The 25,448-nt window shown below is 42.8% G+C and overlaps 4 annotated features.

Moving 5' to 3' along the window:
- Positions 4,372–4,907: an enhancer, noted in NCBI's record as "NANOG hESC enhancer chr15:26476139-26476674 (GRCh37/hg19 assembly coordinates)". NCBI's record gives its function as "activates a minimal SCP1, AML or CMV promoter by ChIP-STARR-seq in naive H9 embryonic stem cells {active_cell/tissue: H9 hESC(naive)}" and the evidence as "EXISTENCE:reporter gene assay evidence [ECO:0000049][PMID:30033119]".
- Positions 9,306–9,944: an enhancer, noted in NCBI's record as "NANOG-H3K27ac-H3K4me1 hESC enhancer chr15:26481073-26481711 (GRCh37/hg19 assembly coordinates)". NCBI's record gives its function as "activates a minimal SCP1, AML or CMV promoter by ChIP-STARR-seq in primed H9 embryonic stem cells {active_cell/tissue: H9 hESC(primed)}" and the evidence as "EXISTENCE:reporter gene assay evidence [ECO:0000049][PMID:30033119]".
- Positions 13,739–14,679: an enhancer, noted in NCBI's record as "H3K27ac hESC enhancer chr15:26485506-26486446 (GRCh37/hg19 assembly coordinates)". NCBI's record gives its function as "activates a minimal SCP1, AML or CMV promoter by ChIP-STARR-seq in naive H9 embryonic stem cells {active_cell/tissue: H9 hESC(naive)}" and the evidence as "EXISTENCE:reporter gene assay evidence [ECO:0000049][PMID:30033119]".
- Positions 16,434–17,218: an enhancer, noted in NCBI's record as "OCT4-NANOG-H3K27ac hESC enhancer chr15:26488201-26488985 (GRCh37/hg19 assembly coordinates)". NCBI's record gives its function as "activates a minimal SCP1, AML or CMV promoter by ChIP-STARR-seq in naive H9 embryonic stem cells {active_cell/tissue: H9 hESC(naive)}" and the evidence as "EXISTENCE:reporter gene assay evidence [ECO:0000049][PMID:30033119]".

The following is a 25,448-nucleotide window of genomic DNA, read 5'->3' on the forward strand; positions in this document are numbered from 1 at the left end:
ATCAGTATTAGCTCACTGATATTTACAACAGCTTTGAAAAATTGATATCATTATCTCATTTTACTGATGAAGAACAAAACCCATGGTGGTGAATCACCTTGTTTTGATCTTCAGGGGGGAAATGTGAGAACACAAGAGTAAAAGAAGACTCATAGGATAATCTGGGGGGAAAAATCACCTAGAAATTATCTTAGATGCCTAGGAATAAAATCTCGGTATAGGATGGCACTAACTGGTTATTATTTCTGGACATTTGGCCTATTTTAAATCCCAGTTAATTATCAATGTTAAATGTATTATTAAAATACACACATTATTTTCTACATTAAATGAATTATTGGCTTCCATTTCTGATCAAGGTGGAGTAACTGGAGTGGATTTAACTTCCTACTAGAAACAATTAACCAAAAAAAATACATAAAATGTATGGTTTCCAGATATCAGACATCAGGAAGTGCCATGCAGTGGCCCCTAAAAGTGATCCTCATCGTGGCACTCAGCATGCTGCCTGGAGAATGCTTGCAGGTGGCAGTGCAGGGCAGGGAAGCCCAGACCACATCCTGTGGTCTCCCTGAGTTGAGATGATGGAATTGGGAGCGCAAGGCGGCCAAGGCAGTCAGAGTTCTCAGGAGAGAGAAAGAGAGAAGAAGAGAGAAAGAGCACAGAAAGGAGCTCTGAAGGTCTGAAGTGCATCCCACAAGGCTTCAGCCGAGTGCTAGTCAGCACAGGTCTATGAGGAAGCTGTGAGACCAAGGACAGAACCAATGCTGTGGAGCAGAGGAAGCAATCACTACTTCTGACTTACAAACGCTGCAATAATTGATCACCAGCAGACCTTCACTACAAAAGATGCTAAAGCAGAAGGAAAAGGATCCCAGACAGAACTCTGCATCCATAAAAGGACAGAAGAGTAACAGAAATGGTAAATATGGAAGACGGATTTTTCCTGGTTTTCACCTTTTTAAAAGATAATTGGCTGTTTGAAGCTAAAATAATAGTGTATTATGGAAGTAAGGACAACAATAGCACAAAGGCTTAGCAGGGGCAAAGGAAGTGTGAAGTGCAATATTACAAGAAGATGGACCACAGCAAGCTAGGCATATGCTATTAGTCCTAAGGCAACTACTTTTAAAAAGTTACACCTAAAAAGCTAACAAAAGAAGGAAACAGAATCATGGATAAAAACAACCAACAATCTAACTCAATCCAAAGGAATGTAGAAAAATAAGAAAAAAGAAACGAAGAACAGACAGAACAAATAGAAAATAGCAAAATCGTACACTTAAACCCAACCACATCAAGAATCACATTAAACATGATTCTAAACAACCTGGCTGAAAAGGAATATTTCTCAGGTTGTATATAAAAATGATGCAGGATTTTTCTCGGTCACTTTGTCAGCCAGGGACTTCTGCAGCCTGACTTGTGTGCCAGTGTGGACCCCACACTTGCTGTAGGATCCACATTCAGCCTGTGACTGGGCTGAGCATGCCCTAGTCCACCTGTGTTACAGCTGGTACCGGCGTTCACGTTCAGTGGGTCCTGAGTTCTTGCCAGCATTCAAGAAGAATGAGGTTACGCTGACAACTGAAGGGTGAGGAGGGCAGAGAATAATTTTATTAAATGGTGGAATGGCTCTCAGTGCAGAGGGGACATGAGTGTGGTCCCCCATCTGAAGTTGGGTGGTTTCTCTCTTGGTGTGGCTGGGTCTGGGGCTTTTATGGGCTCAGAATGGGGGAGTGTGTGCTGATTGGTTTGTGAATATGCAAATAAGCTGAAACAAAGACACAACTCAAAGGTGGGCACAACAGTGTAAAAAACCAATTAGGGAAGGGTAGGTATATGTAAAATAGGTGAAGGATGAGGATCAGTCAGAGGAAAGTGCACCAAATGGGAAGAGACGTTCTCAATCTGGTCCATAGATTTGACTTGTAGCTTGGCTTTCAAGCTTTAAACTGTCCTTGGCTTAAAGGTGGGGTTTCAGTGGGGTGCCTGCCCCTATCTGCCTAGGCATTTGACTGCCTCCTGCCACTATCAAAAGCAAGACCCAGATATTTGTTACCTATGACAAATTTTTAAAATTTCTTTAAATATATAGATACAAAGAGGTTAAAAATTTTAAAAATGAGAAAAGATACATCATTACTGCCATGAGTGCATATTTCAATATCAGGCAAAGTAGATTTCAGTGAAAAGAATACCACCAGGGATAAAGTGGATCATTTTATGATGACAAAGTGGTCTATTCATCAGAAGATAACAAGCTTAAAAGTTTCAATATGCTCAATAACAAAACTTCCAAGTACATGAAGCAAAATCCAATAGATTTTTAAGAAGAAACAGACAAATCTTTAATTGTAATTAGAATTTTCAACTGTCCTTTCAACAATTTGTAGAACAAGTAGACAAGCAAGAGCACAATATATACTTTTCAAGTGTATTGATAGTATTTACCATGATGGACTATAAAAGCACTCTTAGTGAATTTAGAAGTTTTCAAGCCACTCAAAGAATATTCTCTGACTACAATGGAACTAAAATAGATATCCAAAAAAATCCTCCAATACTAAAACACTAACACATTTCTAAATAACCCATGGATCAAGGAAGAAATCAAAAGTGAAATTAGAATGCATTTTGAGTTGAATAAAATTTAAAATGTAGAATATTATACATTGCAAGATGTAGTTCATGTAATGACTTGAGGGAAATTTATAGCACTCAACATATGTATTTAAAAAAAGAAGAAGAAACATCTCAAATCAATGACTTTAGTGTCTACTTTATAAAGCTAGAAACAGAAAAGCAAGTTTGATCCAACATAATCAGAAGAAAGAAAATAAATATGTTATGACAAGATGCCCAATCCTTCCTCCTACCTTTTTGTTCCTTTCTACCTTTGTCCTGTCAGAATCAGAATGAGTGACTAGTTCTGTGGGATGAGTGTGCTGAAAGATAGGGCTCCATTCAGAAGCAAGACACTACCGAGGCCAGGCATGGGCAGGACTACTCACCTCTAGCTTTGGTCTTCAAGCAGATTGTATTAGTCTGTTCTCTGACTGCCAATAAAGACATACTTCAGACTGGTAATTTATAAAGGAAAGAGGCTTAATGAACTCATGGTTCCACATGGCTGGGGAGGCCTCACAATCATGGCAGGAGGCAAAGAAGGAGTAAAGTCACGTCTTACATGGCGGTAGGCAAGAGAGCGTGTGCAGGGGAACTCCCATTTATAAAACCATCAGATTTCATGAGACTTATTCACTATCATGAGAACAGCACAGGAAAGACCCACCCCCATGATTCAATTATCTCTCACTGGGTCCCTCCCATGACAAGTGAGAATTATGGGAGCAACAACTCAAGATGAGATTTGGGTGGGGATACAGCCAAACCATATCAGAGATTATCCCTTATATTTATGCCTAAGATGTGTTGAGAGTCAGGAATCTCCATTAGAAATCCAAAACTCAGTGGTCACCCCTCTCTCACACACATACCCAGTTCACTGGCCTGCCTTGCTCTTATGTCACTGGAATAACATTCAGGTGATTTAGTGGTACTTTTCTTTTCTGTTTTGTCCAGCACGTTGTTCAGGCAATGCATAAGCCCCCATCCCCCTGCATTTAAAAAAAAATCATGCTCAATATTCCTCATCTCATGACTCTGCTTTTGCTATTACCTAAGCACTTCTGCTTCTGCTTCTGCATGGGAGGTGTCTTCCTCTCAGTCCCTGAGCTCCGGGTGTGTTCTTCCATCTAAGGATGCAGGTTCTTCAGCCCTGCTCACTGGCCCTGATTTCTGTGCCACTTGTGGTCCTGAGAAACCCGGACCCATAGAGTAGCGCTTTGCCCCACCACCATGTGTGACAGCTGTAAAATGTGGGTAGAGAAATGCATCTCAGCCCTAAAAAAGTATCAAGGCATTAAAAACGCTCAAAGTTAGAAAGGGTATTAAAGGTCCTTCAGATAGGGTTATATTTACCTAAGTAGTTTACATTTCTTAACACATTTAACTCATACAAGTTTATAAACTCTTATTATTTCCATCTTACAAATGAAGAAACTGAGGCTATTGGGTTGAGTCTGGTTCCACAAACCCACCACTCTATTTCCCTCAACACACACACATGCACACAATATGCGCGCGCGCGCGCGCACACACACACACACACACACACACACACACACACACACATCACTGCTGACATTTCCTTTGTTAAGGGACAATGTAAGATTTCATGGTAGTCCGACACCATTAAGACAAAGGGAGCAGGCAATACCTCAAACCTGCTTCAAACATCCCACTCCCTCAAAGTTCCCTCAGGGAGAGATGCGGGCAAAGGCCAGGGCAGATAGAAAATCAAACCTCTACTACATTTTAATTGAGTTTATCCTCAAAATTCCAGTGCTTAATACTGGCAAACTGGATTGAAGCACAAGAGAGAGGCACTAGGTCCAGCTAGAACCCTTTCAGTACAAAGCCCAAACTCAAAATTCTGCTGGCAGCTGCTGCCCTAGTTTGAGAAGATGAGATGCTCACATATGCTTGTGAGAAACATTAAAGAAAAAGAAAGCTAAATGGCTGTGCTTCCTCCCACCTTATTGTAATCCTAATTTAGGCACAAAAAGAAAACGTCAGGAAGCACCGGAGAGCAAGACAGGCAGATGGCTGGACAAGTGCTCGGGTGGGTGAAAAGCCCGAGGCCAGTTTGCTGATCAGCTACCTGGATAAAAGAAGAGGAAAAGAATAGTAAGCTCAGTGTGAACTTTCTAACAATCAGACGTGTCACTGATGACCCAATCGGATTAAAGACCCCTTTTTTCTGGCAGTGGAGAGGTGGATGCTATAGAAAAGAAGGTGGAGAGGAGCTGCCAAGAGGAAAAATAACATTTTCCCCCCAGGAAAGGCCCAAAAGTCCCAATATGCACATTTGTGGCTCAGACCACTCTTCTGAATTCCGTATCCATATATCCACAGTAGGAGGCATCAGGAATACTCCCCCTACCCCGGCCCCCACCAACCTTCAACCAAAGAGGAAAATTTGAACCACAAAATTATTTAATTGGATCTGAATGTATTTCTCTTCTGCATGGCAAAGGGAAACCCACTGACATCCAGTGCCTCTTGCAACTCAGGAGGCAGCAAAACGTGAATTGCCACAAAAGGTTGGGGTATACACTTTCATTACAGAGGAAAGTCAAGGTTGCCCTCACAGAAGCAATAGTCTCTCTTATGAGAATATTCTTTGTTTCTGTGATAAAGCACATCTTGGTGATATGTGCTGGCTTTTCAGTTTATGCTTAGTTTTCAACAGCTGCAGTTCCCACGCCGGGAGATCTACAGGCAGTCAAGGCACCACGTGGTGGCACAGGGAAATCATTTGTGGCCCTACAGCTACAGCCCAAGGGGTTCAAATTTTCAAGAACAAGACTATTAAGTTGGGGGAAAAATCTCTTCCTTCTAGAAATCTTCTGAAGGTGAAAGTAGGGGACAAGCTTCGGAATCTTCCTGATCCTTCAGTAACAAACTCTTCATTTATTAAAAAAATTTTAACTGACAAACAATAATTGTAAATATTCATGGGATACATAGTGATGTTTTGATACATATAATGTATAGTGATCAGATCAGGGTAATTAGCAGTGTAATTGTTCCCGGACCAAACTGAGGATTGGGCTGCTATTTCTCATGGCCCAATAATGAGATGCAGATGAACTGGGGAGGAAGAAGAGTTTTTATTTCTGTAACTGGCTACAGGGAGAAGGCCTGGAAATTATCACCAGACCAACTCAAAATTACAGTGTTTTCCAGAGCTTATATACCTTCTAAGCTATATGTCTATGTGTTAAGTGTGCATTCATCTAAAGACAAGTGATTAACTTATTTTAATCTATAACTAAGATCTGAGTCCTGAAGATCTTCCTCTGGATCCTCAGTAAATTTACTTAATGTAAGTGGGTCCAGGTGCTGGGGTGATTACCCTTATCTTGTCTCCTGCCAAATCATGGAGGTTTGGGGAGCTCCTTCAGACCCCCAACAAACTTGTTTGTAGAGGCCTTGGGGAGTTTCTTCAGATCCCCAATAAAACTTGTTTAATCCTAAATGGGTCTGGTTAAGAATTCCTTCATTATTTTGTCATGCTTTAATGCCCAGGAAAGGCCTAGGCAAAACTGTTGGTGGGTTTTTGTTACATCCCAGCCTTTGTATAAGGGCATTGGCTTTTAATGTTTAACTTAAGCACTCAGTCAGTACTGAAACAGTTGCTATGGAAGCCTACTTTAGTGAGACCTGGCCTGCCACATAATTAGCATCTCAAATATTTGTTACTTCTTTGTGTTGGGAACATTCAGAATCCTTTTTCTAGCTACTGGAAACTCTGTGTAATTGTTAACTGTATTCATCCTACAGTGCTATAGAACACTAGAAATTATTCCTCCCATCTAGCTGTAAATCTGTATCCTTTAATAAATTTATCTCTCTCCTCACTTCCCACTGCCCTTCCCAGCCTCTAGTATCCTATGTTTTACTTTTTTTTTTTCAACAGGCTGGAGTGCAGCAGCATGATCTCGGCTCACTACAACCTCCATCTCCAAGACTCAAACCATCCTCCCACCTCAGCCTCCCGACTAGCTGGGACTACCGGTGCATGTGTTCTACTTTTTGCCTCTATGAGACCAATTTTTTTTTTTTATAGCGTCCACCTATAAGTGGGAATACATGGGGCATTTAACTTCTTGTTCCTGGCTTATTTCACTTAACATAATGTCCTCCAGTTATATCCATATTGCTGCAAATGACAGAGGTTATTTATGTATTTATTATTTTTTTGAGAAGGAGTCCCACTCTGTCATCCAGGCTGGAGTGCAGTGGTCCAATCAGGGCTCATCGTAACCTCAGCCTTCTGAGTTCAAGTGATCCTCCCACTTCAGCCTCCTGAGTAGCTGGGACTAGAGGCGTGTGCCACCAAGTCCAGCTAATTTTTTTGGTATTTTTTGTAGAGATGGGGTTTTGCCATGTTGCTCAGGCTGACCTCTAACTTCTGGGCTCGAGTGACCTGCCTGCTTCATCCTCCCAAAGTGTTAGGATTACATGCATGAGCCACAGGGCCCAGCCAACAGAGTTTTATTCTTTGATATGGCTGAACAGCATTTCATGGTGCATATATACCATATTTCTTTATCCATTTGTCTATTATTGGAAAATCAGTGATTGAAGGGTATAGCTTCCATCCTCAACCCACCCAATGATTCCAACATAGATCAGAGAACCTGGACGTCCCATAGGCATTTCAAACTTAACAGCTCGAAAACAGAACTTGTGTCTCCTAAATCCTCTCCTTCCACCTTCCCAAACCAGCACTTTCCATGGTCTCACTCTATTCAGTTAATGGAAACTTCATTTTTACTATTGCTCAGGAAAAAATTCTTGGAGTGATTTTTTGGCTCATCTTTTATGCTCACACATCTAATCCATCAGAAAATCCTGTCAAATATGCCTTCAAAATATGTTCAGAAAGCACCAGCTCCAATCCTACTGTAATGGTACCAGCTTTATCATCTCATCTGGGCTATTGCAACAGCTTCCTTACTGGACTCTCTGCTTCCTCATTCAGCCTATTTTCAACATGGGAGCCCAGGAGATCCTGCTGAAATGGAAATCAGGTAAGTTTAACTTCTCTTCTCAAAACCTCCCATAGTAAGCAGTCAGCTTAACTTAGGTATGCTGAACTAACGAGCAAACCCTGAGATCTCAGGTGATTAACACAAGAAGTTTAACTTGCCACTCACGTGTAGCCCTCTGGGACTCGAGACTCCAGCAAAGTTCCCAACCAGTGGCAACTCAAAGATGCAGGCTGCTTTTCTCCTGTAGCCATGTCTTTCATTGGGCAATGTCAGTGGAAGACAGAGCACAGGGAACTCACGCATCCTCTGCCCTGCTGTGTTTCATCCGGTCTACTGGCCACAGCGAATCTCTGGGGCCTGCCCACTCAAGGGGGCTGGAAATATAGGTGAGTACATTTGGTCAGCATTAAATATTTCTGCCACACCCTCCAATAGCTTCCTATCTCCTTTAGGATTAAAGACACAGTTCTCACAATGGACACATCATTCTTCTCTCCCCTGAGGGCCTTTGCACTGACTGTGTAACCTGCCTATAGCACCCTCCTGATGCTCTTTCCCCCATCTCTGATACATTTTCAAATAGAAACATTTTATTGAGATAATTGTAGATTCACATGCAGTTGTGAGAAAGAATATAGGGAGATCCTCTGTGCCCCTTATCCAGTTTCCCCAAATGGTAACACTTGCAAAGGTATGGTATGATGTCACAGCCAGGATATTGACATTGCAACAACCCACCAATCTCACTCAGATATCTCCGTGTGTATGTATATTTATTTCCACACATTTTATCCCATGCATAAGTTCGTATCTCCACCACCACACTCAAGATGCAGACATTTCCATCCCCACGGGGATTCCTCCTGCTGCCCTTTCATTGCCACCCCGCCTCCCTCCCACCACTGCCCCCTCTATCCTGCCCTTACGCCTGACAGTCACTAATCTGTTCACCATTTCTAAAATTGTGTCATTTCAACAGCATTATATAAAGGAACCACACAATTTGTCCCAGCCCAGCGGCTGGGCACATGTGTTTCTATGCTTCTTACATATAAACAGCAATATTTAGGATGCCAAAGAGCAAAGGTAAGAGGGCCATTTCCGATGATCCCTGTGCGCTTCCAGCCACGGAAATATAGCCTGAGATACAGGCACTACAGCAGCCAGGGATGGGGGGAGGGGTCCCTGATTCCCGCAGTGCTTACACTGGCCCTGCACACTCCCTGAGCAACTGGCAGGGGCCTCTGGGTCACCTCTGCTTTCCATCCCATCAGCCCCATTTCTCTACCAGAGAATCCTTTTATTATGTTAAAATAGGACGTCATTACTTGAATTAGAAAGGGAAATACCAGCTGCTTTCGTCCTCCAGGAAGCACTAATTAGCCAGCAGCCACCCTGATCTCAGGCGACCAGGGAGCCGGTGCAGACTAATTACAACCCTGCTGCCTCCTGCACACTGGAACTCAGGCTGCAGCACCTGCGCTTCTGAGCTGAAGGATTTTTAGGATCTGGAATTTCCCCCCGGCACTAACCTTGCATTTGATGCCTTCATTACACATCTCCTTCCACAATAGCTTCCTCACTGGTCTCTGATTTCCAGCCAACCCATCTTGCACAAAACAGCCAAATTCATCTCCTTAAAACACAGTTCCAATCACATAATTTTCTTACCCCAAATTTGTCAGCATGATCCCCATGCAGCATGTAAACTATAGTCCAGACCCCCTCCACCTGGCCCTGCAGGCTTTCTCTAAAGGGACTCAAGCCCGGATTCCTGGCCTCTTGTCAGCCCCTGACTTCCACAGTCCTTCCCACTGAGAGACATGTCGTGGCTCAGGTTCCCCTAATCAGCACTTTCACCTGCGGCATGCTCACACAGTCACCCCAGGTGCCTTAGAGACAGAAGCAAAACCTGCATCCAGACTGCTGTGGTTTCAATGCTTGTGTCCCCACCTCCCAAATTCTTATGTTGAAATTGAATCCCCAAGGTGATGGTATAGGTTGAGCATCCCAAATCTGAAAATCTGAAATCTAAAATGCTCTAAAGTCTGAAACTTTATGAGCACTGACATGAAACTCATAGGAAATGCTCACTGGAATACCATATGATCCAGCACTCCCAAGGCTAGGTGTATATCCAAAGGAAAAGAAATCCATATATCAAAAAGATCTCTGCACTTCCATGGTTCCACTGGAATGGAATGTTCCATTCACAACAGCCAAGATGTGGAAGCAACCTAAGTGTCAATCAACAGAGGAAGGAATTTTTTTAATGTGGTACACATATACAATGAAAAAGTACTCAGCCATTAAAAAAAAAGAAGAATGAAATTCTCTCAAGTGCAGCAACATGGATGGAACTGGAAGTCATTGGAGAATTTCGGATTTTGGATTTTCAAATTTGGGCTGCTTGACAAGTAAGTATATACAATGCAATTATTCAAAAATCTGAAATTCAAAACACTTTTGGTCCCAAGCATTTCAGATAAGGGATACTCAACCTGCATTAGGAGATGGTGCCTTTGGGAGATGATTATGTCATCTCATAAATTAGGCCCTCAGGAATGGGATTACTGCCCTTATAAAAGAGCACCCAGAGAGTTCTCTTGCCCTTTCTACTATGTGAGATGATGGAAAGAAGGTGCTGTCTATGAACCAGAAAGTGGGCCTTCACCAAACAATTGAAACTGCAGCTGCCTTAAATCCTGGACTTCCCAGAGTCCAGAACTGTGAGAAATAAATTTCTATTGTTTATAAGTTACCCAGTCTCAGATATTTTGCTATATCAGCTGGAACTGATTAAGACACAAACCAATAAAATAAAAATCCTTAGGTGTGGGGAAAGGGAAGTGGTAGCATTTTTAAAAAGCTGCCCAGGGGATTCCATGACTCAGCCAGGATGGAGAACTGCTGCCCAAAGGCAACTCAAGTGGCTGCAAAAAGTTTAGGATGGGCTGCACACACCCCGGGCCTGGAATGAGATGTGTGGATGGGTCTTCAGAGGTGCGTGTCTTCCAGGAACAGCCTTTAACAAAGCCCTGGCAGTTCCATGTCACCATGACTGGGGTCTTCCTCCTCACCTGTTGAGGTGCATGTTCTCCCTTTAACTTGATCTTGCAGGTGGGGCCTGATGCCCTGCCTCCCTGGTTCCTGGACTTGCAGAGTCCTGCCCACCACTGTGAGCTGTGTTCTCCCACTCGGGTCCTAGTGTGTCAGTTTGCTGTAGCCCTTTGGATACTGTCCAGTGCAGGCTAACCTGCAACCTCAGTTTCCCTCTATGTGGCTCAGTGTCTGCCTTCCCTCTGTTCAAAGTTGTCTTGGTTGGGTTTGCTTACACAAAAATGCTTGGAATAGGGTGCTGAAATGGAATTTTCCTCTAAGCACCAAATACAGTCAAGGTGTGAGTGCAAAGGGATGTGACGGATCATTTCATGAAGAATTTACAAAAGAAAATTATCCTTACACATTTTCCACTCTCATCACTTGGAGAACAAAACACAGGAGAATGAGAAAGGAAGGGAGAGAGAAGCCAACCAAGAGGACTGGAGGGGTAACCTTGAGGCTGTGGAGTGGCTCAATCCCACCTCTTCCCATACACTCACCTGGAAGGTGTCTGTGCCTGCCTACCTCCTGTTGTAGAGCTAGGAAGAGGCCTTCCAAGTCCTCTCTGGAAGGTTGGGGCTGGAGACACCTCTGCCTGAGAATCCTAGAGGCAGCAAGAATGGCTAAAGGCTGTGGTGGCAGAAGCAGGAGGTGAGTGGCACCTGGCCCAGCCCTACCCTCCAGTTACTGGGGACAAGCAGGATGTTGACAATGCTGACATGTCTCCTGGACCTGAGGTGGGAGCAGGAGCAGCTCTGGGAACCACTGGGAGGGGTCACCATGGGGATACCTGTGGAACACAATCGTGAATTGCAATGAAAGAAGTCCCCAGGGATTGGAATCTAAGAACCCACAAAAGGTCCTGGAAGTTAGGAGTTAGCTTCCATCATCTGTAGGTCCTCAGGTAGGCAAGACGGCCGTGTTTCTAGCTGGTTGGCTAGCCAGGAGGGCAGATGGCCTGGCCTAGGCTGGCCTTTTCCTTCTCACAATCCTCTCTTATACAAAGAAACACACTAATTTAAAACCGCAATTTGGGCTCAAAATTAAATGAAAAAGACCAATCATCAAAAACCAAATAGAGGAGGCAAAGAAAAAAGCGCACCATGCCTCTATCTCCTTACATTGCCTCCCGAACTCCAACTTCCCACAGCGAGGCCAGGAAGGAGGGGTGGAGCCCAGCCTGCTGCAGGTTTCAGCATAAGACTGCAGGTTTGCAGGATGTATGGCACTCCTCACTGGTGGCCTAGGGCAGGGCTGCCATTCCCTGGGATTGTGCAGTAAAGTCAGGGACCTGCCCAGATGCTCACACTGACTCAGGAAGAGCCCACCTTCCCTGGACGGATCCCACCTGATGTCCACTTCTGTGTGCATGTCACTTATTCCCTACCCCCCCACCTCCAAGTCGAGACAGAGGGACTCAAAGAGCAACCTGCAGGAACAGCATGAGGATAGCATTTATTTGGCACTCGACCTGCACCAGGCACTATGATAAGCCCCCCCAATGACCTTGTTGAATCCCTGAAACCTCTGAGGGCAGCTCAATTACTGCAGCCATTTTACGGAAAAGAAAGCTGAGGCTTGAAGAGGTTAATAACCCCAGGAAGTAGTCTGGTCAGGATTCCAGTGGGTGTTCTGCTCACTGGAGAACCTGGTACACCGTGCGGCTCCATGAAGGTTTGTCAAGTGAATGAATGTTGTCTAGCTTCCAATCTACACAACTTAAATAAACTTGCAAAACTCTCTTCTTGGGGCCAGGCGCGGTGGCTCACGCCAATCCCAACACTTTGGGAGGCCGAGGTGGGCGGATCACCTGAGGTCAGGAGTTCGAGACCAGACTGACCAACATGGAGAAATCCTGTCTCTACTAAAAATACAAAATTAGCCGGGCATGGTGGTGGTGCCTGCCTGTAATCCCAGCTACTAGGGAGGCTGAGGCAGGAGAATCGCTTGAACCTGGGAGGCGGAGGTTGCAGTGAGCCGAGATCACACTACTGCATTCCAACCTGGTCAACAAGAGGGAAACTCCGTCTCAAAAAACAAAATGAAACAAAAACTCTCTTCTATCTTCAATTGGTTGTTATCTTTAAAAAAATAACCAACGATTTTAGTTTATTTCAGAGTCCCACCTATCTCTTTTACAGAAGTATACTAAGTAGAAGTTTTTGAGCCACCTCTCTCAAGAATGTATTAAAATTTTTTCTTTTCATTTTTTACTTATAAAAACAGTTATTTAAAACAAAAAGATTATTGACATATAATAATTATACATATTTAAGGGGTACATGGTGATGTTTCAATACATATAATATATGGTGATCAGATCAGGATAATTAGCACTTCCATTGTCTCAAACATTTACCATTTGTATTGGGAACATTCAACACCCTCCTTCTAGCTATTGGAAACTCTGTAATATATTATTGTTAACTCCAGTCAACCCTTAGTGCTGTAGGACACTAGAACTGATTCCTTCCAACTAGCTGTAAATGTTTATCCTTTAACAAATCTTTTCCTTTCCTCCTTTTTCCCTACCCTTCTCAGCCTCTAGCATCTTCTGTTCTACTTTTTACTTCTATGAGATCAACTTTTTTTAGCTTCCACAGATGAGTGAGAACATGCAATGTTTTACTTTCTGTTCCTGGCTTATTTCGCTTAACATAATGTCCTCTAGTCCTATCCATATTGCTGCAAATGACAGGATTTTATTCTTTTTTATGGCTGAATAGTATTTCATAATGCATATGCCCCATTTTCTTTCCCCATTCATCTGGGGTTGGACACCTGGGTTGATTACATACCTTGGCTGTGGTGAACAGTGCTGAGATAGACATGGGGTGCAGATGTATCTTCGATATCGTGATTTCCTTTCCTCTGGATAAACGCCCAGCAGTGGGATTGGTGGATCATATGGTAGTTCTATTTGTAGTTTTTTGAGGAACCTCCATACTGTTCTCTAGAGTGGCTGTACTAGTTCAAAAACTTATTTTAAATTCTTTAAATGGTGGTGTGAGGTTGACATTATGGTTTTGCCCTGAAGAATTTTCCAACCATTTCTGAGAAAGTGTACTAAATACTGCCTTTCAAATTTGTATGCACAAAAAAAATTTTCTGGGAATTTTGTTAAAATGAAGATTCTGACTCCGTGGGCCTGGTGTGGGGCCTGAGACTCTGCATTTCCAACAAGCTGCTAGGTGATCCGATGCCGCTTGTCTGAGGACCACGCTTTGAGAAGAAAGAGGTCAGGCTCTACCTAGAATTTGCCTCACGTTATTTATACAAATAAAGTATAAGTTATCTCATCCTTACCCTCAAAAGATGAGGGCTGTCTCTAGAGTAGAGCACAGAAGACTGTCATGGGGGGAATTGTGTCCTCCACAAAGTCATACATTGAAGGCTTAAACTCCAGGACCTCAGAATGTGGCCTTATTTGGAAACAGGGCCGTCGCAAATGTAACTTGTTAAGATGAGGTCATACTGGGGCAGGGTGGCCCCTAATACAGTGTGACTGATGTCCTTATAAAAAGGAAAGATTTGGCTGGGCGCGGTGGCTCACGCCTGTAATCCCAGCACTTTCGGAGGCCAAGGCGGGTGGATCATGAAGTCAGGAGTTAGAGACGATCCTGGCCAAGATGGTGAAACCCCATCCCTTCTAAAAATACCAAAATTAGCTGGGCATGGTGGCGGGCGCCTGTGGTCCCAGCTACTTGGGAGGCTGAGGCAGGAGAATCGCTTGAACCCAGGAGGCGGAGGTTGCAGTGAGCCAAGATTGTGCCACTGCATTCCAGCCTGGGCGACACAGCGAGACTCCGTATCAAAAAAAAAAAAAAAAAGAGGAAAGATATGGGGACAGACACACACACAGGGAGAATGCGATGTGAAGATGATGGCAGAGATCAGCGTGACACCTCTACCAGCCAAGAACACCAAAGATACCAGCAAAATCCAGAAGCCAGGCAGAGCCCTGGAGCAGCTTCTCCCTCACAGCCTCAGAAGGAACCACCCTTGATCTCAGCCTTCCAGCCTCCAGAATCCTGACAGAATACACATCTATTGTGTAAGCCCCCAGTCTGTGTTCCTTTCTTATGGCAGCCAAGCAGACTAACACAAGGATAATGCATTTTTTTTTTTGAGACAGACTCTCCCTCTGTCACTCAGGCTGGAGTGCAGTGGTGTGATCTTAGCTCACTGCAACCTCTGCCTCCTGGGTTCAAGCAATTCTGTGTCTTGGCCTCTGGAGTAGCTGGGATTACAGGCGCCCACCACCACACCCAGCTAATTTTTTTGTATTTTTAGTAGAGACAGGGTTTCACCATCTTGGCCAGGCTGGTCTTGAACTCCTGACTTCTTGTTCCATCCGCTTTGGCCTCCCAAAATGCTGGGATTACAGGCGTCAGCCATCATGCCCGGCCAGGATAATGCATTTTAACGCTATAACACTATCACAAAATTCGCCCATGAAAATGAGATCTGGAAGCTTCCTGCCTCGTTTTGTTAATTAGAAGTTCAGTGTGAGGAGCAAGGGTGCATGGACCTTTTACATGACAAGTAGTAGAGGAAGCATTACTCATTATTACTTAACTGTTACTTACGTGGTCACCTCTTCCCTCAATTGGCTTGACTAGTGTGAGTTTGCTCCCTCACAGGCCTATCATAACTTTCTTGTCCACCGGCCACCACGTACAGTGCTCCCTGGCCTCGATACCTCCTTTTCCTCCTCTCACCTGATACACCTGCCATGTTCCTCACCTGTACCTCAAGTGCCCTGGTTCTTGCAGGCCCACATCAGAGCCTCCTCCCCCAGGATGGCTTCCTTGGTTTCCTGGAAGAGAAATGATTAGCATGTAGATTGTAGCTCCCAGTCTTATACCCTTTTGTGTTCATCATAGTCTCCCAGGGGCTGTCTGAACTCTTTCTAATCAGCATAATTCTAAAGATGACCCCTAGGATTCCATCCCTGGTTATTCAATCGGGCACTAATTTGGGGCTGCCACGAAGGATTTCCTGGTTGTAATTATTATCCCACATCAGTTGAACTTAACAATGTGATGTGGGATATATGTGGGTGGTCCTGACCCAATCAGGTAAGCCCTTTGCAAACAGAAAGTTTTCTCCAGCTGGTAGCAGAAGAGGAAGTAAGAATCCAAGTATAGGAGGGATTCAGAGGGGGTTGAGGAGAGGGTGGGACATATCAAGGAATGAGGGTGGCCTCTAGGCCACCTCTGGCAGCCCATAAGGAAGCACAGGTCTCTGTTCTGCAAACTCAAGGAATGAAGTTCTGTCACCGACTTGAATGAGCTCAGAAGCAGATTCTGCTCAGAGCTTCCAGGTCAGAGCCCAGTCCCGGGGATGCCTAGATTGAGGTTTGTGAGATCCAGAGCCTGCTTGAGCTTCTGATTTGCAAACTGGGACATGGTGATTGGCTGTTGTTTTCAGTTGCTAATTTGGTGGCATTTGTTATGCAGCCATGGAGAACTAATACATTGCCCCACCTGACAAAGCCTGGAGGGCAATGGCTACTCCCTCCGGCCTCCCCCATGCACCCTTCCAGGGCCCTGACCCCAACACAGTGCCTTTCCACCAACTGGCCGAGCTACTTGGTGACGCTGTTTCACTGTGTGCTGATGGTTGCTATGGTTTTTCCGCATTTGCTGAGGAAAACCAGCCACACGACCAGATGCCCACAATGCTTCTTGTAATCGAGTCTCCTATTTAGTCGAAAATAAGTGAGACCCTGCTCATGTCTGTAATTTGAAATTAGCTTAACTGCAATCAAATTAAATGGCTCTCAGATGTGAAAATAAAGCTGCGTGAAACAAAAGTGAAAACTTAGGAGACCCACCTTCCTACTGCTAAAATCAAAGCCCATCTGTCGATTTTTATGTGGCTATACTTTCCCTCCCATAAAATAAGTGTTGCTGGGTTGAAGAGGCACCAGTGGAAATGAACTAGTTCAGTCCTCTTCGGTGGTAATGTGAATAACATGGTTCCCCATCGTTCACTCGCAGTACTGCCTGGAATGTTTCAGTCTGTTCCAGCTGCTGTAACAAAATGCCATAAACCTAGAGGCGTATAAACAGCAGAAATTTATTTCTCACAGCTCTGAAAGCTGGGAAGTCTAACTTTGAGGTGTGGGAAGATTTGGTGCCTGGTGAGGGCCCACTTCTTGGTTGATAACACAGCAGCTTCTCATTGTGTCCTCACAGAGGGAGGGAGCTCTCTGAAGCCTCCTTGTAAGGACACTAGTCCCATTCACAGGGCTCCACCCTCAGGACCTAAGCACCTCCCAAAGGCCTCACCTCCTGATTCCATTACCTTGGGGGTTAGGTTTCAACACAGGAATTCTGAGGGAACACAACCATTCAGATCTGAGCAGGTTGTGGCTTTAACTCTTTTAGCATTAGGTTATTCATCTTTAAAAAACTGGGTACCAAATAATGTAACATTGCTTTGTAAAATTTTAAAGCATTTTCCTCCAAATCGCTATCCTTTTGTCTCACTTGATTTTCATTGTTTTGATGGCAGTAAAGTGGAGGCACCCTGGGCATGGGTCAAAAATCTTGGAACGAAGCCTCCGTGCTGCCTTTTGATTTTTTTTTGCGGGGGGTGGGGGGTGGGGGGTGGGGATGGAATCTCACTCTGTCATCCAGGCGGGAGTGCAGTGGCATGATCTCAGCTCTGCAACCTCCGCCTCCCAGGTTCAAGCGATTCTCCTGTCTCAGCCTCCTGAGTAGTTGGGACTACAGCCACATGCCACCACGCCCAGCTATTTGTTGTATTTGTAGTAGAGACGGGGTTTCACTATGTTGGTCTGGCTGGTCTCGGACTCCTGACCTCAGATGATCCACCCACCTCGGCCTCCTGAAGTGCTGGGATTACAGGCATGAGCCACCACACCCAGCTAATCTTTGTATTTTTAGTAGAGACAGGGTTTCACCATATTGGTCAGGCTGGTCTTGAACTCCTGAGCTCAGAGAACCCACCCGCCTCGGAGCCTTTTTTGCTTTTTACGTGTGACTTGCAGGAATCCCTCACCCTCTTCAAGCTCTGGTTCCCTCTGTCCTCAGGGTGGGGTGAAGCCCACCCGTCCACACGAGGGCAACACACACACGAGAGCAACTCTGATCCCCAGAGGCTGCTTCCCGCGCATCTCAGGCGGTTTCTCCCTGCCCATCCAGCGGAGCTAAGGAAACTTCTCTGAGGTCATGACATGTTAAGGAAAGAACTGCTGGTAAAGGCTGCATGACTCCTGAGCTAAAGGCTTTTGGTTTGTTTCACGTACTTTTTTTTTTTTTTTAACGTACCTTGTCATGCATCACATTGCTTCCGGAGTTGGTTCCTGCCGGTGGGTTAGCGGTCTTGGCTGACTTCAAGAATGAAGCCGCGGACCTTCGTGGTGAGTTTAACAGCTCTCAAAGAGTGAGCGGTGGCAAGGTTTATTGTGAAGAGGGAAAGAACAAAGCTTCCACAGCGTGGAAGGGGACCTGAGCGGGTTGCCGCTGCTGGCTGCCATGGCCAGCTTTTACTCCTTTATTTATCCTCTCCCCCATGTTCGATTTCCGTCGTATCAGAGTGCCCTTTTTTCAATCCTCCTGCGATTGGCTACTTTTAGAATCCTGCTGATTGGTGCATTTTACAGAGTGCTGACTGGTGCATTTTACAGAGCACTGATTGGTGCATTTTACAGAGTACTGATTGGTGCGTTTTACAAACCTCTTGTAAGGCAGGAAAGTTCCTGATGGGTGCGTTTTACAAACCTCTTGTGAAACAGGAAAGTTTCCCAAGTCCCCACTCGACCCAGGAAGTTCAGCTGGCTTCACGTCTCAACAGGAAGGTAGGTGGAATATTTCTAAGAACTGTAAATATTATAAAAGCAGAAGACGAAGGGTTTCTTTCAGTGTAGACCTTCAGACTGTTACCTCCTTGGCTTTCCTTCGAATCAGGGGTTTTATAAGCAAGACACAGTGTGACTATCTGTCGGCTCTTCCTGGAAGGCTCACACAGTTTCTTTCTTCCTCTGCCAGCACTTTACTGCTTGTCGACAGACTTCAGCCCCCGGTACTCCACACGAGGGGCAGGAAGTGACATCCTAAATCGCAAAATCCAAAAGTTCTGTTTAGTCCTTACTCGTTACTTAACTTCTCTGCAGCATTGTGGCCTTTCAACACTGTCTCTTTTTTAAGATCCTCTCCTCTCTCACTTCCCAAGGGACCATTCTCTCTTGGTTTTTCTCCTCGTCCTCATCTCCTTGAGGTCACAGTGCACCAAGGCAGGTTCAGTCTCTTTCCAGCTCTGGAGACTCAATGATTACATATTCAGTAATTTTGCTTGCCATTGTATGTCACATTGGCAGTTTGAAATTGGCTGAGGTGGGAGTATTTACACTATGAGAATTGGCAAATGCTACAATTTGGGGTCTTTAATCTTCTCTTTTTTCCCAGAACTGGTGCTAACCTGTTGCCAGCATACCACTGTTTCAGGCCTTTGGGTCAGGCCTTTCTGGTTTTTGCATCAGGCAGATAGATCTGGTTTTATATCTTCGATCATTCCATCATCCAGACCATTTTTCACACAGTTCCATTGATCCAAAGTACAAAAATGATTGTCATTCCTCTGATAAAATTTTTTGATAATAAAAAACCACTCTTTGGCATAGCAAAGGATGTTTGGCTACTGTCCTGTCTGGGTGTTCTTTTGCACCCTGTGTTCAGGCAACAGTGGGTCGCGGTGCACACTCCAAGTTCTCAGCTTTGGTCTCACATTGGTTACCCTTTCCTATGTCTTCAGGCATCATCTTCTCCACAATGACATCACCAGTCCTCAAAGCCTGCTCAGAGACCCTTTCCTGTGCCCCTACACTTCTGGGGACATTTAACCACTGCCTTGGAGGGATTCATTTGCTAGCTTGCTTCCCTGATAGCCTGAGGGCAAGAGCATCCCTCCACACAAACTTTTCACCCCAATTTTGTTTATTGTGGTAAAATACACACAATGTAAAATGTATTCTTACCCATTTTAAGTGTATTTAACCAGTTCAGTGGCATTAAGTACATTCAAAATGTTGTGCAACCATTACTACCATCCATCTCCATTACTCTTCATCTTGTAAAACTGACATTCTATACCCAATGGACAGTAACTCCTCATTTCCTCCCTCCCCACATCCCCTATCAAAGTGCATTCTACTTTTTGTCTCTATGATTTTGCTTAGGTACCTCATATAAGTGGAATCATATAATGTTTGTCTTTTTGTGACTAGCTTATTTCACTTTGCAAAATGTCTTCAAGCTTCATCCATGCTGTAGTGTATACCAGAAATTCTTTACATATTAAGGCTGAATAATATTTCATTATACATATATACCACATTGCCTATCCATTCATCTGTCATAATCACTTGGGTTGCTTCCGTGTTATGGCTACTATGAATAATACTTCTATGAATATTGGTATACAAATGTCTTTAAGATTCTGCTTTCAATTCTTTTGTGTATATATATGATAGTGGAATTACTGGATCATATAGTAGTTCTTCAAATTTTTGATGCACTGACATACTGTTTTCCATGGTGGCTGTATCATTTTACATTCCCACCAACAGTGCACAAAGGTTGCAATTTCTCCACATCTTCATCATCATTTATTTTCTGTTTCTTGATAGGAGCCATCCCAAGTGGTGTGTGGTGGTATCTAGTTGTAGTTTTGATTTGCATATCTTTAATTATTAGTGATGTTGAACATCTTCTCATGTGTTTATTGGCCATTTGTATCTCTTCTTGGGAGAAATGTCTATTCAAGTCCTTTGTCAATTTTTTTTTTTTTTTTTTTTGAGACGGAGTCTCGCTCTGTTGCCCAGGCTGGAGTACAGTGGTACGATCTCAGCTCACTGTAAGCTCCACCTCCCGGGTTCACGCAATTCTCCTGCCTCAGCCTCCCGAGTAGCTGGGACTACAGGCACCCGCCACCACGCCTGGCTAATTTTTTTGTATTTTTAATAGAGACAGGGTTTCACCGTGTTAGCCAGGATGGTCTCGATCTCCTGACCTCGTGATCCACCCGCCTCACCCTTCCAAAGCGCTGGGATTACAGGCGTGAGCCACCACACCCAGCCTCCTTTGTTAATTTTTAAATTGAGTTGGTTGGTTGGTTGGTTTTTTGTGGTTGAATTTTAGGAGTTCTGTATACATTCTGGATATTGATTTCTTACTAGATATATGCTTTGCAAATATCTTCCCCCATTCTGTGGGTTGCCTGATTATTCTCTTGATGTTATACGTTAATGCACAAGTTAAAAAAAATTCATGAAGTCTCATTTGTTTATTTTTTCTTTGGTTGTCTGTTCTTTATCTTGATGTCTTATCCAAGAAATCACTGCCATCTTCAATGTAGTGGTTTTCACCCTATGTTTTCTTCTAAGTTTTTACTTTTAGTTTTCATATTTAGATCTTTGATCCATTTTAAGTTTATTTTTGTACATAGTGTTAGGTAGGGGTCCACCTTCATTCCTTTACAGGTGAACATCCAGTATTCCCAGTATCATTTGTTGCAAAGACTGCGCTTTCTCCATTGAATAGTCTACGCACTTGTCAAATATCATTTGATCATACATGTGAGGGTTTACTTCTGGGCTTTGTGTTCTATTCCATTAACCTATATGTCTATTTTTATCCCAGTTCCACACCATTTTAAGTAGCTTTGTAGTAAGTTTTGAAATCAGAAAGTGTGAGTCCTCCAGCTTTGTTCTTTTTCAAAATTGTTTTGGCTATTTTGGGTCCTTTGAAATTCCATATGAATTTTAAGATGGTTTTTAAAATTTTTCTGTAAAAAATGTCTTTGGCATTTTAATAGAAATTGTATTTCATCTGTAGATCATTTTGGGTAGTATTGACATCTTAACAATATTGTTTTCCCATCCATGACCATGGAATATGTTTCTATTTATCTATGTCTTCCTTAACTTTTTTCCATAATGTTCCATAGTTTTCGCTGAACAAATCTTTGATTTCCTTGGTTAATTTAATTCCTGAGTGTATATTTTCTTTTTAATGCTGTTATAAATGGAAATGTTTCCATAATATTCTTTTTGGGTTGTTTATTATAGATATATATAAATGCAACTGATTTTTGTATTTTGACTTTCTATTCTGATAATTTGCCAAATTCATTCATTAGTTCCAGCAGTTTTTTTTTTTCAATCCTTAGGATTTTCTGCATGTAAGAATATATCGTCTGTGAACAAAGACACTTTAACTTATTTTTTTCTAATCTGGATTTTATTTATTTATTCCACCTAATTGCTCTAGCTAGAACTTCTAGTACTATGTTAAATAGAAATCATGAAGGCAGACATGATTATCTTATTCTCAATCTTAGAGGAAAAGTTTCAGTCTTTCACTATTGAGTATGATGTTCACTATGGGTTTTTCACATGTGGCTTTTATTATGTTGAGGTAGTTTTGTTCTACTTCTAGTTTGCTGAATGTTTTTCTCATAAAATGATGTTGAATTTTGTCAAACGGTTTTTCCGCATTGATTGAGATAATGATTTTTTTTCTTCTTTCTTTTAATGTGTTGTATTTTCTTTCTTGTTCAATTTTGGTATGTTGAATTATCTTTGGATTCCAGTAATAAATCCCACTTGATAATGGTAAATTGACTTTTTAATGTGCTGTTGAATTTGGTTTGCTCATATTTTGTCATGGGTTTTCTGCATAAGGGATATTGGTCTGTGGTTTTCTTTTGCAGTGTCTTTGTCTGGCTTTGTTATCACGGTAACCTGGCCTGATAGAATAAGTTAGGAAGTATTCCCTCTTTTTCATCTGTTTAGAAAAATTTGAGAAGGATTGGTGTTTGTTCTTTAAATTATGATAGAATTCGGCCGGGCGCGGTGGCTCATGCCTATAATCCCAGCACTTTGGGAAGCTGAGGTAGGCAGATCCCGAGATCAGGAGATGGAGACCATCCTGGCTAACACGGTGAAACCCCGTCTCTACTAAAAATGCAAATAATTAGCCGGCTGTGGCAGGCGACTGCAGTCCCAGCTACTCCGGAGGCTGAAGCAGGAGAATGGCGTGAACCTGGGAGGCAGAGCTTGCAGTGAGCGGAGATCGCACCACTGCACTCCGGCCTGGGAGACAGAGCGAGAATCCGTCTCAGAAAAAAAAAAAAAAAATGATAGAATTCATCAGTGAAGCTGTCAGGTCCGAGGATTTTCTTTGTCAGGAGAGTTCTGATTAATAAGCAATCTTTTTACCAGCTATAGGTCTATTCAGATTTTCTCTTCAATTGTGATTTAATCTTCGTAGGTTTTCTGTTTCTCGGAATTTGCCCATTTTATCTAGCTTACCCAATTTTTTGACATACAACTGTTCATAGTATTCTCTTACAAACTTTTTTTTTATTTCTGTAGAATCAGTAGTAATGTCCTCACTTTCATTCATGACTTTAGTAATTTGAGTATTCTCTTTTTTTTGTTTTAGTCCATCTAGCTAAAGATTTGTCAATTTTGTTGAACTTATCAAAGAAACAACTGTTGTTTAACTCTATTGTTTCTCTATTCTTTTTTTTTTATCTACCTCATTTTGCTCTCATTTTTATTGTTGTCGTCCATCTGCTAGCTGTGGGTTTAGTTTGTTCTTTTTCTAGTTCCTTGTGTTGTAAAGTTAGGTAGTTGATTTGAGATCTTTCTTATTTTGAATGTAAGTGTTCATGGCCGTAGATTTTGCTCTTAGTACTGCTTTCACTGTTTCCCTGAAATTTTGGTACATTGTGTTTTTCTTTTTCTTTCCTTCCTTCTTTTTTTTTTTTTTTTTTTTGATATGGAGTCTTGCTCTTTGGCCAGCCTGGAGTGCAGTGGTGTGATCTTGGCTCACTGCAACCTCTGCCTCCCGGGTTCAAGCAATTCTCCTCAGCCTCAGCCTCCCGAGTAGCTGGGACTATAGGCGTGTGCCACCACACCCAGCTAATTTTTGTATTTTTAGTAGAGACAGGGTTTCACCACGTTGGCCGGGATGGTCTCAATCTCTTGACGTGATCCACGAGCCTCGGCCTCCCAAAGTTCTGGGATTACAGGGATGAGCCCCTGTGCCCCACCGTGTTTTTATTTTTATTCATCTCTAATTATTTTCAAATTTCCCTTGTGATTTCTTCTTTGATTCATTGGTTGTTTAAGAGTGTGTTGTGTAATTTCCACAAATTTGTGAATCTTCTCATTTTACTTTTGCTGTTGGTCTAACTTCATCCCATTGTGGTCACAGAAGATACTCTATATAACACCTAGCCTCTTAAATCTGTTGAGAGTTAATTTGTGGCCTAAAACATGTCCTATCCTGGAAAATATCTTGTGTGCAATTAAAAATTTGTGTGCGGGCTAGGTGCTGTGGCTCATGCCTTTAATCCCAGCACTTTGGGAGGCTGAGGCAGGTGGATCACAAGGTCAGGAGATCGAGACCATCCTGGCTAACATGGTGAAACCCCATCTCTACTAAAAGTACAAAAAAAAAAAAAAACCAGATGTGGTGGCACACACCTATAATCCTAGCTACTTGGGAGGCTGAGGCAGGAGAATCACTTGAACCTGGGAGGCAGAGGTTGCGGTGAGCCAAGATTGCACCGCCGCACTCCAGCTGGGTGACAGAGTGAGACTCCACCTCAAATAATAATAATAATAATTGTGTGTGCTATTGTTGCTGGGTAGAGTGTTCTTTACGTGTCTGTTAGATCTAGTTTGTTGATTGTGTTGTTTAGGTCCTCTATTTCCTTGCTTATTGTCTGTCTGATTATTCCAGCCATTATTGAGAGTGGGGTATTGCAGTCTCCAACTATTATTATTATTTATTATTATTATTTTTTGAGACAAAGTCTCACTCTGTTGCCAGGCTGGAGTGCAGTGGCGTGATCTCGGCTCACTGCAGCCACCACCTCCTGGGTTCAAGCAATTCTCTTGCCTCAGCCTCCTGAGTATCTGGGATTACAGTCATGTGCCACCACACCCAGCTAATTTTTGTATTTTTAGTAGAGATGGGGTTTCACCATGTTGGCCAGGATGGTCTCAATCTCCTGACCTTGTGATCCCCCCACCTCAGTCTCCCAAAGTGCTGGGATTACAGGCATAAGCCACAGCCCCCAGCCCTTTCCAAGTATTATTGTAGAACGATTTCTCCCTTCAATTCTGTCAGTTTTTTGCTTCGTATTTTTGACAGCCTTTTATTAGGTGTGTTAATGTTTGTAATATTTATATAGTCTTATAGTATTAAAACTTTTATTAATATATAATGTCCCTTTCTATTAATATATAATCTCTCTTGTCATCCTTTTTAATTGAAAATCTATTTTGCCTGATATTAATATAGCCACTTCTGCTCTTCCTTGGTTACTATTTGAATAGAATATCTTTTTGCATCCTTTCCATTTCAATCTATTTGTGTCTTTGGATCTAAAATGTGTCTTTTGTAGATAGCATATAGTTTAAATATGGATTTTAAAAATCCATATTTTTTAAATATGGATTTAAAAATATCCATTCTGCCAATCTCTGTCTTTCAATTAGAGGATTTAATCCACTTACATTTAAATTAATTACTGATAAGGAGGGACTTACTTTTTTCATTTTGCTATTTGTTTTCTTTATGACTAATAGCTTTTTTGCCCCTGATTTCTTGTATTACTATCTTCTTTTGTGTTCAGTTGATTTTTTTTTTTTTGTAGTGGAACATTTAAGTCTCT

This window comes from Homo sapiens, chromosome 15 (assembly GCF_000001405.40).
Source record: "Homo sapiens chromosome 15, GRCh38.p14 Primary Assembly".
In the NCBI taxonomy this organism is placed as follows: domain Eukaryota; kingdom Metazoa; phylum Chordata; class Mammalia; order Primates; family Hominidae; genus Homo; species Homo sapiens.